The 15316-nt window shown below is 39.4% G+C and overlaps 1 protein-coding gene and 1 long non-coding RNA gene across 14 annotated transcripts in view; one reads left to right on the top strand and one right to left on the bottom strand.

Moving 5' to 3' along the window:
• The window catches only part of GRIK1-AS2 (GRIK1 antisense RNA 2), a 34708-nt gene extending 30031 nt beyond the window's left edge, over positions 1–4677 (bottom strand). The window contains exons 1-2 of the long non-coding RNA NR_033368.1: positions 3939–4677; positions 3023–3147 (exon numbers count right to left, since the gene is read on the bottom strand). This is a non-coding gene — a long non-coding RNA (GRIK1 antisense RNA 2). The remainder of the gene's footprint in view (positions 1–3022; positions 3148–3938) is intronic.
• GRIK1 (glutamate ionotropic receptor kainate type subunit 1) overlaps positions 1–15316 on the top strand; it is a 403064-nt gene that overhangs the window by 339280 nt on the left and 48468 nt on the right. For 6 of the 13 annotated variants that reach the window (NM_001320616.2, NM_001330994.2, NM_001393426.1 and 3 more), the window contains 5 exons: positions 1780–1887; positions 4147–4191; positions 9492–9605; positions 11675–11878; positions 13128–13351. In NM_001320616.2, coding sequence (NP_001307545.1) covers positions 1780–1887; positions 4147–4191; positions 9492–9605; positions 11675–11878; positions 13128–13351 — 695 coding nt within the window. Of the gene's footprint in view, positions 1–1779; positions 1924–4146; positions 4192–9491; positions 9606–11674; positions 11879–13127; positions 13352–15316 lie in introns of those variants that run through there. The other 7 variants (NM_001320621.2, NM_175611.3, NM_001330993.2 and 4 more) reach the window with 3 other exon arrangements.

The following is a 15316-nucleotide window of genomic DNA, read 5'->3' as shown; positions in this document are numbered from 1 at the left end:
CCTGAAGTTACACTGCAGATATTCAGCCCTAGAGGTATGGAAAATTCACTGCATTGCTCTGCCTCTTGGCCAAATGGGTAAATACATTCAACATATATACGTGGCGCAAATAACTGCAAATACAGTGTAATTCTTCAGAATCTTCCCATTTTATGCATGTCTAATGAATTTGGTAAAGTCAAGAGGGAGAAAAACAGCTAAGTGGATACAAAGATCTGAGTTTTCCTTTATCCCTATTTGTAAGTGAAACTCAAATCAACAAGGTTGCCAAAAATCACCTAATGATTGAAGCTGAAGACTCTCCCAAGGGCCACCGCTTTTTATTTAATAAAACCACCAGAGATACCCAATGTGAGTTCTGTGAAAGGCAGACTATTGTGAATTTTTTGTTATTTGAAATGATGTTGATATGTAGGGTAGGAAGAAGACCGGCACCCTCAAAAGTTACCCATGTCCTCATCCCTGGAACCTGTAAATGTTAATTTATATAGCAAAAAGGCCTTTGCATAGGTGATTAAGGATTTTTGAGATGGGGAAATTATCCAGGTGAGTTCTATTTAGATTGTATTTACAATCACAAGTGTCTTTATAAGACAGAAGCAGAAGGAGTTTTTTTGTTTTTGTTTTTGTTTTAGACGGAGTCTTGCTCTGTCGCCAGGCTGGAGTGCAATGGCATAATCTCGGCTCACTGCAACCTCTGCCTCTGGGGTTCAAGCGATTCTCCTGACTCAGCCTCCCGAGTAGCTGGGATTACAAGCATGCGCCACCACGCCTGGCTAATATTTTGTATTTTTAGTAGAGATGGGGTTTCACCGTGTTAGCCAGGATGGTCTCGATCTCCGCCCACCTCGGCATCCCGAAGTGCTGGGATTACAGGCGCAAGCCACTGCGCCCGACCCTTTTTGTTTGTTTGTTTGTTTGTTTGTGACAGAGTCTTGCTCTGTTGCCCAGGCTCCTGGAGCGCAGTGGAAGGATCTCGGCTCACCACAACCTCCACCTTGCAGAGGGAGCTTTTATGCAGACAGCAGGGGAGGAGGAAATGTGACCACTGAGGCAGAGATTGGAGTGATGCAACCACAAGAGAAGGAGAAATGCCAGAAGCCACCAGAAGCAGAAGGAGGCAAAGAATAGGGTCTTCCCTCGAGCCTCCAGAGAGAGCACGGTCCCGCTGACACATTAATTCCACCCAGTTAACACTGATTTTGGATTTCAGGCCTCCATAACCTTGAGAAAATAAATTTCTGTTGTTTTGAGCACCCACGTTTGTGATTACTTGCTACAGCAGCCACGGGAAATTATAATGCCCAAATGGTGCAAACACGCTAAGTCATAAACAGCCTAAAAACTGCAATACATCATTGGACTATATTAGTCTATATTCTTTTCACAGAGAAAGAAAAAGCAGGGACTCACTTCCACTCAGCCATATCTCAAAGGGAATTTGGATTGACCTTGGAAAACAGAATATTGTGATTTCTCAGATTTTGTGTATTCCGTGTGCAGACTGTTTTACGGCAATTCTTTCCATACTGTCCATTTAGGTAGCCACGATGACAGGTTTGACTGGGTTAGGATGTTAGAATTGACAGAATAAATGAGTGCTAATAAAAAGACGATGTGTTCTGCTATCTTGTCGCTGAACCAATGCAATGGTTTATAACAGCATGATGAAAACAAATAATTGGATACTGTGATGAATTTGAGGTATTATAATTTTGATGGTCTCAGGAATTATGATAAATGTTTAACAATAACAGCCACATTTCTTCTTGTCCACAGGCCCGGTGGGATGGCTTGACTGGGCATATCACCTTTAATAAAACCAATGGCTTGAGGAAGGATTTTGATCTGGACATTATTAGTCTCAAAGAGGAAGGAACTGAAAAGGTAACCTCCTTAACAATAAATAAATAAAATAACAAATGAACATTGTTCAGGCATTTTTACTAAATTGCAAAGACAAGTAGGTGAATGATGAAGTGATTCTCTAAGCATGTTCTTTTACATCCAGTTTTTTATCTCTCTTTCTTTTTTCTGCAGATAGAAGTTGATGTGCTAGATTCTTAAATTTCATGTCTTAGTAATAGCAGTACTAACTAGTGTTTCTATTGTGCTTCATTTACATAGCAAGTGTGATTATATTATTACATATATAACCCTAGAGTTGGGTGTCATTAGGCCCATGTCTTAAAGCTTTTAACAAATTGAGTTTAGACTTGGAAAAGCAGAAGCTATCAATGGTTTATCGATGGAATGGCATCCAAGGGTTACCCAGAAATTAATTTTAATTGCACATTTTATTCCATTTTGAGATTGGTGACAGACAGAATAAAGTAGGATAGAAGAGACTTACTGGAGCAAATTAACTTTGCATTCTTAATTTTAGGACAAATGCCAAAAAACTGTATTTTAATGTTGGGTTCTCATTTTAGGATTATTTTAGTTGTAATTCTGAATCTCTCCATGTTTAAAGTTCTACTTTAGTTATTATTTAGAGTAATTCCAATGTAAACTATTTGGTTAAATAATAATGATAAAAGAATTTGGCTCCTCAATATATTTTACTATGCCAATTTTAATATTCATGACTATACGTCAGAATTAACACTTACAGTTTGAAGATTTTGCACTGACAATCTTATAGAAAAACAATTGAAACCCCCAAAGCAATCACCTCAACAGAAAACTCTATAATCTGACATTTTTTTTCCCACTATAGTGAATAAGACAGTGTGCTTAATGTAAGAGTGGCTTTGGGAACAATCGATTGCTTGATTAATTAGATTAGTTGGGTTGATTTTTTAAAATGAGGTAAGGTTTTCATTTCCGTTTTCTTGCTTTTGTTAACCAGGACACATTTTTTTTGCAGGTGCTAACTACCCCTCCCCCTCAAAAAAACATTAATGGAAACAAAGATCATTTAGGCTGAATGTATTAGAAGGTGACCACCAGTGTGAAATATTTGAGGAAAATAATTTGTTTGCAGTTTTGAGAGTACACATTATACATGCAGGTTACTCACTTCAAAAATGTCTCTCCCATCTTCTGGCTTCCTCTTCACTCTGATTTGCCCCTCTGTTGGTCTGACATGCCCTGATAGAGCACAGGGCATCCAGCCAGTCTCCACGATGGTGCATGGGATGTTGGCTGGAGGGAACAAAAGAAAAAAAATACTTGTTATGATCTAAAAGCCTATAATTTTTTTAAGAAAATGTCTGCTTCTCGAAGCATGAGTCTTTCCCCAACTCTGTTCTCCTCTTATGTATAGCACTGAAGGGGGAAGAAAAGCTGTTAAGGAAACATCTTTTTGGCTAGGTGAATGATGAAATAGATGGAGCTATTGTTATGCTTTCACAGCTATCTATACACCGTAATATTATGCACATTGCATTGGTGTTTTTCCATCAAAGGCAAAATCAAATTAGATGAAAGTGTTTTGTGTTGGTTTCTTATCTCTTCATTGTTTGCAATAACTTTTCTTTCTTCAGGTGTCTTGGGCTCAATTCCTGAGAAGGCTGATTGGGCCTTAAGGCAATGAGGGAAGCCAACACATCTCTCTCAGGAGCCGAGGGAGGAAATGCCCAATCTTTTTATGTCAGCCTCTCTTGGAGTCAATAGGGAAAATTATTAGAAAAATCCCATTCTCACTTTCACTCAAATTTCTACTGCCCAGAAACCCATAATCAAAGAACAAGTCATCAAGCATACTTCTTCTTTATATGTGTGTGTCTGTGTGTGTGTGTGTTTGTGTGTGTGTGTGTGTATTGATTGATTTGCTGGTTGGTTGGTTAATTGATTGATTTTAGTTACCAATGCCTTAAAAGGGTCTTCTTAAGGAACAATGAAGACCCTTAATACTGCAGCATACCTGTATACATTGAAAAGCACTTTAAGGCATTTCTTGGTGTGTGAAAGGAAAAGTAAAAATTGAGTCTTACCACCAGGTAACTTCTGTGAGACCCAAGTCTTGATTCGTCTCTTTGCTGTACCTATTGTCAGGCTTTATATTGAATTAAGATGCAAATTCCAAACAATGGGTGGGAACTGTAACACTCTAAGCACTCACACACCATGATTCCTTCTGGGTTTCACGCTCCATTTTAATTAAGTGCTGTTTTTATTTTATTTTTCTCTCTGAAAACCAAGGCTGCTGGCGAAGTGTCTAAACACTTGTATAAAGTGTGGAAGAAGGTTTGTACTCTGACAACAACTGCAGGAAACCTGGGGGTGGGATGGGGAATGTCATTGGAAAGGCCTGTGCCCTTCCAATGTTACCAGACCTGTAGCTCTCCAATTGCAGTTTAGAAGGGAAGTTCCATGTAAAGAGAGAGGAGTGATTGAATATGTTATCTCTCTCAACAACATCACCTGTGAATTGAAAACAGGTTTGCAGTGGATTAAATAATTATGGATTAAATATTTCCCCCAAGATTATTTTTGTTTCTCCCAGGCAGGATCAGTCCTTGTTAGGATTGAAAGCAGGCAACTGTAACAGAAGGAGACACTGACCTATTTATATTCCTTCTCAAATCACTAAATATTTTCCTTAAGGGGGATAAAAATCACAATAGATTTGATCCATGAGACTAGTCAGATAGGCTACAGCCTCAGAAGGCTAGGACACCTCCTGTAATGTCACCACCACAAAATATGAACCATTTTCAGAAATTTCCTTTTCTCATGAGCTATCTTTTGTTTTGTGTGATATCTTCATCAGAGTATACTGTCTTGCAATTTGTTTTAGAGCCACAGTTCTAAAGAGGACACAAACGTTAGGGACCTTGGAAAGGAAATGAGATTATCTTGTGAATTATAACACCCACTATTTTATAGTTTATTATACAGTGCCATGTTGCCAATGAATGTGCATAGATTTATGTAAGCAAATATGAGACATTAAAAACATTTGGATCAGAGAAATGTCCCCGTGGTAAGCAAACATTTTCTTTCATCTCTTCTCTCTCTTTCTCTTCCTCCTCTCCTTCCTTCCCTCTCTGTCTCTCTCTCTCTAAAACTACTTGGTAAAAAAAATCTATGGACTGATGAATGGACCTTAAATTGCTTCAGGTTGTTCAACTTGAACAGTTTTGTCAGGTTCACTTTCATCTTTCAAATTATCAGCTATGTCACAGAAAGTGTACACAAGTTTCTCCCTGTAGCCAAAAACCTTGTCCCCCTCTTAGTAGTACTCAGTGATGAATTCAAAAATTTTTTCTTTTTAAGTTTTCAAAGCATAGGTTTAAAAGCCTTGTTTTAATCTTCAGTGAACAAGGCTACTAAGTGCATGTAGAAGGCGATCTGGTTTCCTCACTAAAATTTTACTGGTAAATAGATGAACCTAACCGGCACCCAGAAAAAGAAAAAAAAAAAAAAAAACCTATTACACTAATCCATCTTGAGACTCTGGGCACTTTGAATTAATCTAATACAAATGTCCCAGGGAATGGAATCCAAGCTTTGAAATTATATAAAGGGGAGGGGGGATGTCCTCTATTTGTCACTAAACTGCAAGAGCCACACACACTCCCGAGGGTTGTAACTTTCTGATCTTGATCCTCCATGCCTTCATGCCTCTTCCCTCCTGGTAGCCCATCATGTTCCACATTGTAAGTTGTATATACTGTGGTGTGCTGTTTTGTGTTATAACTCCGTCAAAAATTCACGGTAACCTGAGTTCTAGCACAGGCGACCCACTCAGACCCAACAAACACATTGCACTTTTTCCAGAAGTCTCCAACTTAAACAAAAATTCACCTTCATCATATTGAAATCCCAAAAGCTTTCCTCGTACTCTGACTTATTTTAGAATAGTATTATTCACCCAAAATTCTTTCCAAAAGAGGAAGGTAGCAATCTTTACAACATCCCTCACTAAAATATTTGTTATATAAGGTTCGTAATACAGGAAACACATATACCTTTATCTTTGCCCTAGATACCTGATTATTTCCCTCAGCCACTTTAGATGTTGAGTTTACATGAATCACTGTCTAGGTTTAGAAGATAGATACTAGTGGCTCTCTGAATACCCTTTTTATTGCATCGCTTTTTAAAAAAAGTTTGCTTAATGTCATTTGGGCACTCATTTTCAAATGCTTTTCTCAGTTGTCCTAGATAACACATGGCTGCTCCCTTGTGCCAGCTTACAAAGTGAAAGAAATCAGGGCCAGGTAATTTAGATATTGAGTGCTCCTCCCCACAAGTAACTGATCCACCCTCCACTACTTCTCACTGGTAAATGACTACTGTCTGCTTTCACTGTGAAGCTTGAAAACTGAGGTTCCGCTCCCTGGAGGCACTCCTCCTAGTTCGTAGAACAGTACTGAAATGTCAAATGTCCAGGCATCTTCTTAACTGTACCTCTGTCTCCAGCACACATGAATCATGAGATCTGACTTCTTTAAAGGGAGACATTCATTTCCTGAGAACATATTCATTTACTTCAAGTAACAGATAAAGCCACATGACTACTTGGGTTTAAAAGACACAGGTACACACATGCGTGCACATACACACACACACACACACACATACACAGTTCTGTTTTGCTGATTACAGGTTTGGAAACAGAAGACTGAGGTCACTCAGCATATATATACTGTACATTTCCCAGGAATAGCCTGACCTTTACTATATTTTGATACTCTTCTAGTCTACATTTAAAGGACCTTCTGTAGGTCCCTCTGTAGAGACAATAGGGGAAAAAATGGTCACCCTTTTCTCATTTTAAGAAGGAAAGTTTAAACTGAATAGGACTTGGGACTTAGTTGATTGGATTGGCAGCAGCAATGATCTCTTAGCTTCTGCACTTTTAGTGCAGATAGCAAAGGAAAGAAAAACCAGACATCAAGCTGTGGGGTGTATTTGTCTACAAGTTCAAGTTTTATTTTACAAGAGAGTGATATTGCTAGGCTATTGAACACTGTCAGTTTCAAATATTACGGTAGTTCCTCCAACACTCACATACTTGACATTAATAGAAATAAGATTTAAAGAGACCACATCCTATCACTTAATCAAGTGGCTAAAAACAGTTATTTTCTCCACCCTTCAATACTTACTTAATTAAAAATTAGATTCCCTTCTCCTCAGTGTCTAAGTGAAGGTTTAATTAGAAGTACAGTCAGGGCCCAATTTACACACACTCTTCATGGAGCTAGGAGTCAATTGTTCACAACCTAAAGCACAGCCTTGGATGAAAATCAATAGACAGGTATATTTAGCCAGAGTTACATTTCCTAGAAGCAAGGGTCCCTGCCTCAGAAGAAGGGATGGAGATTGAGAAGAAAAAGAAGAAAATGCTGTCCACTTTTCCTGAGTCTAAAGCCAGATTAAGAAACCTAAAGATTCTTCAACCATTAGACGTATAATGTGCATTCTAGGTGATATTTATCACACTAGATCCTGGAAACGTTGGATGGTTATTAAGAGTACAGCTTACAACCCAATAGACACTTCTTTTCAGGCAGGACCACAATATTTTCAAATGCAAAAACTATCCCATTCCCCCATTTACCTATACCTGTCTCTTTATTTCTCCAGTCAACTAACCCTCATTAAGTATAGGAAATAAAACTGAAATTAAAATAGTTCACACTGATGTGTGAACGTGTAATAGTCCTTGAAACTTTTTCAAAGCATTGATGTCTCTAAAAGGGATATTTGTCAAGCTAAATGAATTTCCAGCTGCTAAATATAGGCAATAAATCAGAGTCAAGAAATAGAAAAGCAAAGGAGGATGGAGCCTAACACTCCTGTCTGTCTTCCCATTAGAGGAACATATTTAGGGACCAAGCATAGCTCCACCCTGTCCATCTCAGAGCGGGTCCAAGTGTTCATGTTCCTAAACTGCCACTTGTCATAGCTCTTTTACCTTATCAGAATCTGAATTTTTAAAAAAATGAGTCCAGATTCCTTCATGACAGGGTAAGGTTGAAGAAATGACTGAGGCAGCCATTTCAATGTCCTTTCTTGTTACTATGTGTGCAGGTCTTAACAACATGCACCAACACTTCCACATACATCATCTGATTATTTGATCTTCTCATTATTCCTGTGAAATACTTTATAGGTAAAGAATCAACTGAAGCTCAGAAAGTTTAGAATCTCATTCAAGGACACACAGCAACAAGGTCTTCCTGGCTCTAAAACATACTTGCAAGCCACCATGTGAGGCTGGCAGTAAATGCCTACAGAAAGATAGGCATTTACAAAATAGCTCAAAATCCCCAAGGCTCCTCTTCTGGGTTCCCACAGAGGCTGAATGAATCAATACACTTCTACACCACCTCACAACCCAGGAGTGACTTGGCCACTGGAGAAAATTGTGGATCATTATTTTTAAAAAGAGTAATGGGCTTTACTGAATGCCAGTTGCCATGGTTGGTTTTGTGACAGTAAAATCAGTGACCAGTAAAAGTGAGCATCCTCACTGAAGGAGTTCACGATCAAGTGGACAGACAAGACAGGTAAACAGATAAATAATAACAGAAGACGCTAGCTGCTGTGACAGAGATATGAACAGAGTCCTGCTAGGGCTCACAAGCACTCTTTGCCCAGCTTTGGCTCCTCAAAGAAGATAGGCCCTGAATTTAGTCTACTTCTCATGCACATGACATGTTTTCTTTCATTTATCTTTCTCTTTTTAAAGAAAAAATTACTTTATTTTTTCAGTGTCTCGCTCTGTCACCCAGGCTGAAGTGCAGTGGTGCAATCACGGCTCACTGCAATCTTGACTTCCTGAACCCAAGCCATCCTCCCATCTCAACCTCCTGAGTAGCTGAGACTGCAGGCGTGCACCATCATGCCTGGCTAATTTTTTTTAATTTTTTGTATAGATCGGGTCTCACTCTGTTGCCCAGGCTGGCCTTGAACACCTGGTCTCAAGAGATCCTCCCACCTTGGCCTTCCAAAGCACTGGGATTACAGGCATGAGTCTCGGCACCCCACTATCTTTCCCTTTTAGATGCTGGGTCTCTCCACCATTCACCCTGCCCCTTCACCCCATTATTCATAAATTTTAAATAAACTAGTGATACTACTTTGGCAGCCTAAGGTTTCTATCAGTAGAATGTAAGCTCCACAAGGGAAGAAACTCTTGTATATTTTATTCATTGTTATGTCCTCAGATGCCTAGAGCAGTGCCTGGCACATAAATAGATGCTCAGCAAATATATATATAGGAAGAAAAATCTGATATTCATTTAAGAATTCTTATATATTTTTTCATTTATAAAAGAAAATGAGTTTACTAAATGAAAAAGAAAAAGACCTCCACCTACCCTGCCCCCAATAGCACAGATATATCCTATTTTGTCTACACATTCATTCCTCTGTTGTTTCATTTCCCCACGTTTAGTAGCTTCCACTGTGATGCCCCAGTGTCCCAAACTGTGAGCTTTTGTGCCCATTCCTGGTAGAGAAGGGGCCTCTCTTTGGTGTAAATGCCACACTGACAGCCAGCAGCCTCTGATGTACTGTGTTCTGTGTAGATTGGGATTTGGAATTCCAACAGTGGGCTTAACATGACGGACAGCAACAAAGACAAGTCCAGCAATATCACTGATTCATTGGCCAACAGAACACTCATTGTCACCACCATTCTGGTAAGTTGACTTCATGGAATTGAGGGTGTCTTATCCAGGCTCCTGCCTTAGACTTCGAAGCATTCCTCAACTGTCTTTTTCATGCCAACGCTTCTGTCTGCAAATGTCTATTTTTAACTAGGACACTAAAAGCCTGTGTTTGTACATACTTACAGGAAGATTGAATTAGACGCTTCCAACGTTGTTCTGAAGATCTCCCACCTCTAATCCATTGCCAGTCCTGCTCAGCCCCACTCTCTGTCCCCTCCCAGCTGGTCTCCCTTGCTCTCTGGCTGCTAGTTGGTTTCAACCATGTGGAGACCCTAGCAAGAGACTAGGGAAGTGGGGGAAGAGGTGGGGGAAGAGAGGCAAGAGAAGCTCTTCTGTTCCCTCCCAACTGCTACTAGTAGTTTTTTCAGAACCTCTGACTTTCTACAACCATAGCTTCTGCCCATCAGTGGCACTGTTTTTAGGGTCCAGCTGCACTGAGCTTCAGGAGTATTCTTTCCTCCCTCCTGCCTCAGCCCTGGGTGGTGCAGGTTTCCTGAAGAGGCTGTTGCCTGTGTGTCTATGACTTGCCACCAAATCAGACCCCCACCTCCCTTGGCTCCCTTTGCTCTGCTCACACTTCTGTACACAGCTCCTTTACTAACTGTTCTTGAAAGTCCTGCCTCCTATTAGTGCCCTGGTCATGCCCCATCCAGCCACTGTACAGCTACCGGTTGCTTATTTTCCGCTTTTTCCTTTCTCCAGGGAGTTGGGCAGGAGTAGCCTTCCCTGAAATCCTTGCTTGCAGACATCCTGCCTTACACCAGTCCATAATGTCAAATCAATTTATTGTTGATATTATTAACTTGTGAGAATTGTTCATCCAAAGGAAAAACTGGTTTGCTCTTCTGGTTACTACTTTCTCTATGACTGTCTTATGAAAACACAGGGTTCTCTACTGTGTTTGAATGACCCCATTATCAGTTTGAGGATAAACCTAAATATAAAGAATATGTCTGTAGTATAGCAACTATTATATTTTATAAAACCAAATGAGGATTCATTTAGTCAAATGAGAATTAACAAGGTTATAGATGCATGGTAGTAGGGAAGTGTCCATTATTTATAGGAGAGGGGACTGATGATGCACGTATATAAGCAGAGAATGACCAGATGTGAGATTTGAGGTGATTTCAAAAAAGAAAATGGGAAAGATGATAAAAGAAGAAATAGAAATGGCCTTTGGAATAGGCTACCCTGAAGGAAACCAATCAAAATATATAAATCATAAGTGAATAGTGAAATTCAGATGAAATTTAGATAAAGAAATGAGAATAGTCATAGATAGGAAATGCAAAGAATGAAAGGAAATAGTTGGTGATGTAGATTTCTCTGTCATGAGGTTCTTAGATAAAAGCCAGGTCCGGGCTTGGTGGCTCACACCGGTAGTCCCAGCACTTTGTGAGGTGTGAGGGTGGATCACGAGGTCAGGAGATCGAGACCATCCTGGACCAACATGGTGAAACCCCGTCTCTACTAAAAAAAAATACAAAAAAATAGTCAGGCGTGGTGGCAGGCGCCTGTAGTCCCAGCTGCTCAAGAAGCTGAGAAAGGAGAAAGGCTTGAACCCGGGAGGTGGAGCTTGCAGTGAGCTGAGATCTCCCCACTGCACTCCAGGCTGGGTGACAGAGTGAGATTCCGTCAGAAAAAAAAAAAAAAAGCCAGAAGGGTCATACAAAAAAAAGCTTAGGTATTGGCACAGCAGGTGGCCAGGCATGTGGGCCCCCATTTCCCTTTGCGCCTTCCTTCTTCTCAGACCCAACATTTAACAGTGACTGTGTATCCATCACACCATTCCCGCACAGCCCCACCCTCCACAGCGGAAGGAAAAGCTCCCATCGAAAGACGCAGAAGGGAAAGAAACAATAATATAGGAAGTGTTTTGTATTTATAGAGGACATAGGCAGGCAGATGAGTGAATGACTTCAGTACTCTCAGCTCTTCAAAATCATTATCAAACATTTCACATCTTCAAGCTGCTGATAGGGTAAACTCTTCCTTTCATTATAACAGGGTTTTCATATTTGGTTTGTTTCATTTAGGAAGAACCCTATGTTATGTACAGGAAATCTGATAAGCCTCTATATGGAAATGACAGATTTGAAGGATATTGCCTAGACCTGTTGAAAGAATTGTCAAACATCCTGGGTTTCATTTATGATGTTAAACTAGTTCCCGATGGCAAATATGGGGCCCAGAATGACAAAGGGGAGTGGAACGGGATGGTTAAAGAACTCATAGATCACGTAAGTAACAATATTTCTAACATATCTGAAAATATGCATAAGAGAAAGTAAGAGAGGAAAAAATGATGTCAGAAGAAATGTTTCCTTTTTTTGAATCGTAACAATTTTTTTAAGAAGCAAAGTAAAACAGCCTGGAAATGGAGTTTGCTTACTTAGAAGGGCAAGTAAAGATAAAAATTAATGATAAAAATATATGGTGCATTAGTTTGTTTTTACACTGCTATAAAGAACTTCCTGAGACTGGGAAATTTATAAAGGAGAGATTTAATTGACACAGTTCCTCATGGCTGGAGAGGCCTCAGGAAACTTACAATCATGGCAGAAGACACTTCATCACAGGGTGGCAGGTGAGAGAATGCGTGAAAGCAGGGGAGATGCTAGACACTTATAAAATCATCAGCTCTCATGAGACTCACTCATAATCACCAGATCCCAATACCCCATGATCCAGTTACTTCCACCTGGTCCCACCCTTGACACATGGGGATTATTACAATTCAAGGTGAGATTTAGGTGGGGACACAGAACCAAACCATATTATATGGATCCTTCTTTCATACTGAACATAAACTTGAGTGATTCTTAAATTAAGAATTTTACACTTTGGGAGTCTGAGGCAGGCGGATCACAAGGTCAGGAGATCGAGACCATCCTGGTTAACACAGTGAAACCCCGCCTCTACTAAAAATACAAAAAATTAGCCAGGCGTGGTGGTGGGCGCCTGTAGTCCCAGCTACTCGGTAGGCTGAGGCAGGAGAATGGCATGAACCTGGGAGGTGGATCTTGCAGTGAGCCGAGATTGCACCACTGCACTCTAGCCTGGGCGACAGAGTGAGACTCCGCCTCACAAAAAAAAAAAAAAAAAAAAAAAAAAGAATTTTAAAGTTTTCAGCTCAGAGCAAAATCTCATCATGTCAATTAATAGTACAACCAAGTTGCTCATTCCTTCTTTTTCTCACATGCCCTTTTTAAAGGCATCTTCCTGCATTTTTGTCTTTAGTTCCAGAATGATGGATATATATTTGTGTATGTATATGTGTGTTTTATACTTTCTGGTTTCTCTTTGCTGATACTGTTTCATAAACATAACTGTATAAATTGGCTTTTTTTTATTAGAACCAACCATCACAGGAGCTTCATGAATGAGAAGCATTTAGAGTTGAGAATAAGAATCAGGAGTACCCAGGAAAAGTCTAGACATTTGCAAAGAAACTAGACTAAGCTGACAATTTTGGACTTGCTTTTGCAGAGGGCTGACCTGGCAGTGGCTCCTCTTACCATCACCTACGTGCGGGAGAAAGTCATTGACTTCTCCAAACCCTTCATGACCCTAGGCATCAGCATTCTCTACCGGAAGCCCAATGGTACCAATCCAGGCGTTTTCTCCTTCCTCAACCCCCTGTCTCCAGATATTTGGATGTATGTGCTCTTAGCCTGCTTGGGAGTCAGCTGTGTACTCTTTGTGATTGCAAGGTAAGTTTGAGAATCACTGAATTCACAAGAGGTGTAGGTCAGTCTCAGATTTCTGTATGTCCCAGAGGCAGACAAAAATTAGGAACTTTAAAGTGTACTTTTAGTTTTGCCTAGTGTTCTATTCTTGGAAGGTTTCCATATAAAAGCCGTTCTGTAAATGAATGTTTTCTAATTATTTATAAAGTTACTTTTAAAAGAGAGGAAGATAATTTTTAATATTAGTTTAACTTTATCCCTATTTCAAGCAACATAAAATGGTTATTTAGCCATTTTCCTTGATTTATAACAAAAGTAATGGCTCAAATGATGTGTAAAATGTTTCCATAGGAATTGTAAAATGGTCTCAAGATATTTGACCCCTAGAATATTTGGATAAGCAAAACATAAAAAAGTCAGCAAAGAATTATCATAGCAAATAAAAAACAGTGGAGTAAAAAGATTGTGAAACCCTTAGGAATGAAGAAAAATACTTTAAAAGTTCTATTAAATTTATTTTTAAAGGCATGAGAAAGTTAAAGAGAATTCTAGAAATAATGCTGAAAGGAAAGATTGCTTACATACAGAGCCTGGAGGCATGAAACCTTTGTGCTATCATTAAGATGATTCAATTGAGGTTTTACTTTTCGAGATTTAACTCTGTATTTAACCATTTTGCTCTACACAGTTCCTTAAAGGATTTTTATACCTTTCAATAGATCATATATTCTGAATACTTTTGATGCTAAATTTGAAACAGTTATTTTATCTTTCTGTTGGCTTAAACATTTGCTGTCCCTAGATAAACCATGTAAAAAATAATTGCTTTTGTATGTCCCTACTTGTTTTCAATCTTTTTCACCTTTCAACAAAACTCAGTGAACTTTTTCCCTAATCAATTTTTGTTTTCCCTCCAGGAATTTCTAAGAGAAATATTTCTTCATGCTAGCTCTTTGTCATTGTCCACTGTCTGGTTTTGATTAATGCCAGGTAACTCTTTCCCTGGTGTAATTATAAAGAAAGCTTGGGAAAATAACACAGGCTGGAAAGGTTTTAAAGATCCACAAGGCAGACATACTCAAACTGAATCAACATGTGCTCTCACATGTGGGTATTTATACATTCAATATGAAATGAATGTTTTGATGTTCTCTAGGCCTTATAAACTGTACCCTTACCAAAGCTCAGATTTTATACTTTTACTGACCAAAGCTCTCTTTAAATATGCCTTACTTCAGAAAATAAAATATTGACAGTATGTATATAGTGATATTATCCTTTGTATTTTAATACTCTAAATCAGTGGTTCTCAACCAGGAGGGATTTTGTCCCCCAGGGAACATTTGGAAATGTCTACAAACATTTTTTTAGTTGTCATGGCCGGTAGTAGGGAGTGCTATTGGTATCAAGTGGACGGAGTCCAGGGATGCTGCCAAACATCTTATGGTGTACAGGACAGGTACCCCCCAAAAGAATTATTCACTCCAAAATGTCAATAGCACCAAGGTTGAGAAACCATGCTCGAAACAATTAAAGAAGATATTGCTTTGGGTATAAAATTTTTAAAAATAAATTGTTTACCTTTGGAGGTATTTTTCATTAGTGACTCCTCAGTGAAGTTAATATTGCCTCGGAATGGTCATTTAATAAATGACTATCCTAAGGTGAAGCACCTTCTAATAAGTAATCTTGTGTTTACTTGTTGCATACCTCTGCCCGGAGGCCCACACCTGTTGGGTGATACTAGGACTGATGGAGCAATTCATGCAGCCCAGGGCAACAGTAGTTTCCATATTTCGCAGGGCAAAAGTGAGTTTCCATATTTTGCAGTCTGAGGCTCTGTCTAGGCAGTGATGTTGATGAGTAGAACAGGCAAGGTGAGGTTGATGAGCAAATACATTGTTTATTACATGACTTGACCAAAGCCAGTAGGAGAAGAAACGCCAGCAGCATCCAAAAGTTCTCACAAGCACACAGGCTGAAAGTACC

Source organism: Homo sapiens, chromosome 21 (assembly GCF_000001405.40).
Source record: "Homo sapiens chromosome 21, GRCh38.p14 Primary Assembly".
Taxonomy (NCBI): Eukaryota; Metazoa; Chordata; class Mammalia; order Primates; family Hominidae; genus Homo; species Homo sapiens.
The sequence above is the reverse complement of the archived record's forward strand: the minus strand, read 5'-3'. Positions and strand labels throughout refer to the sequence as shown.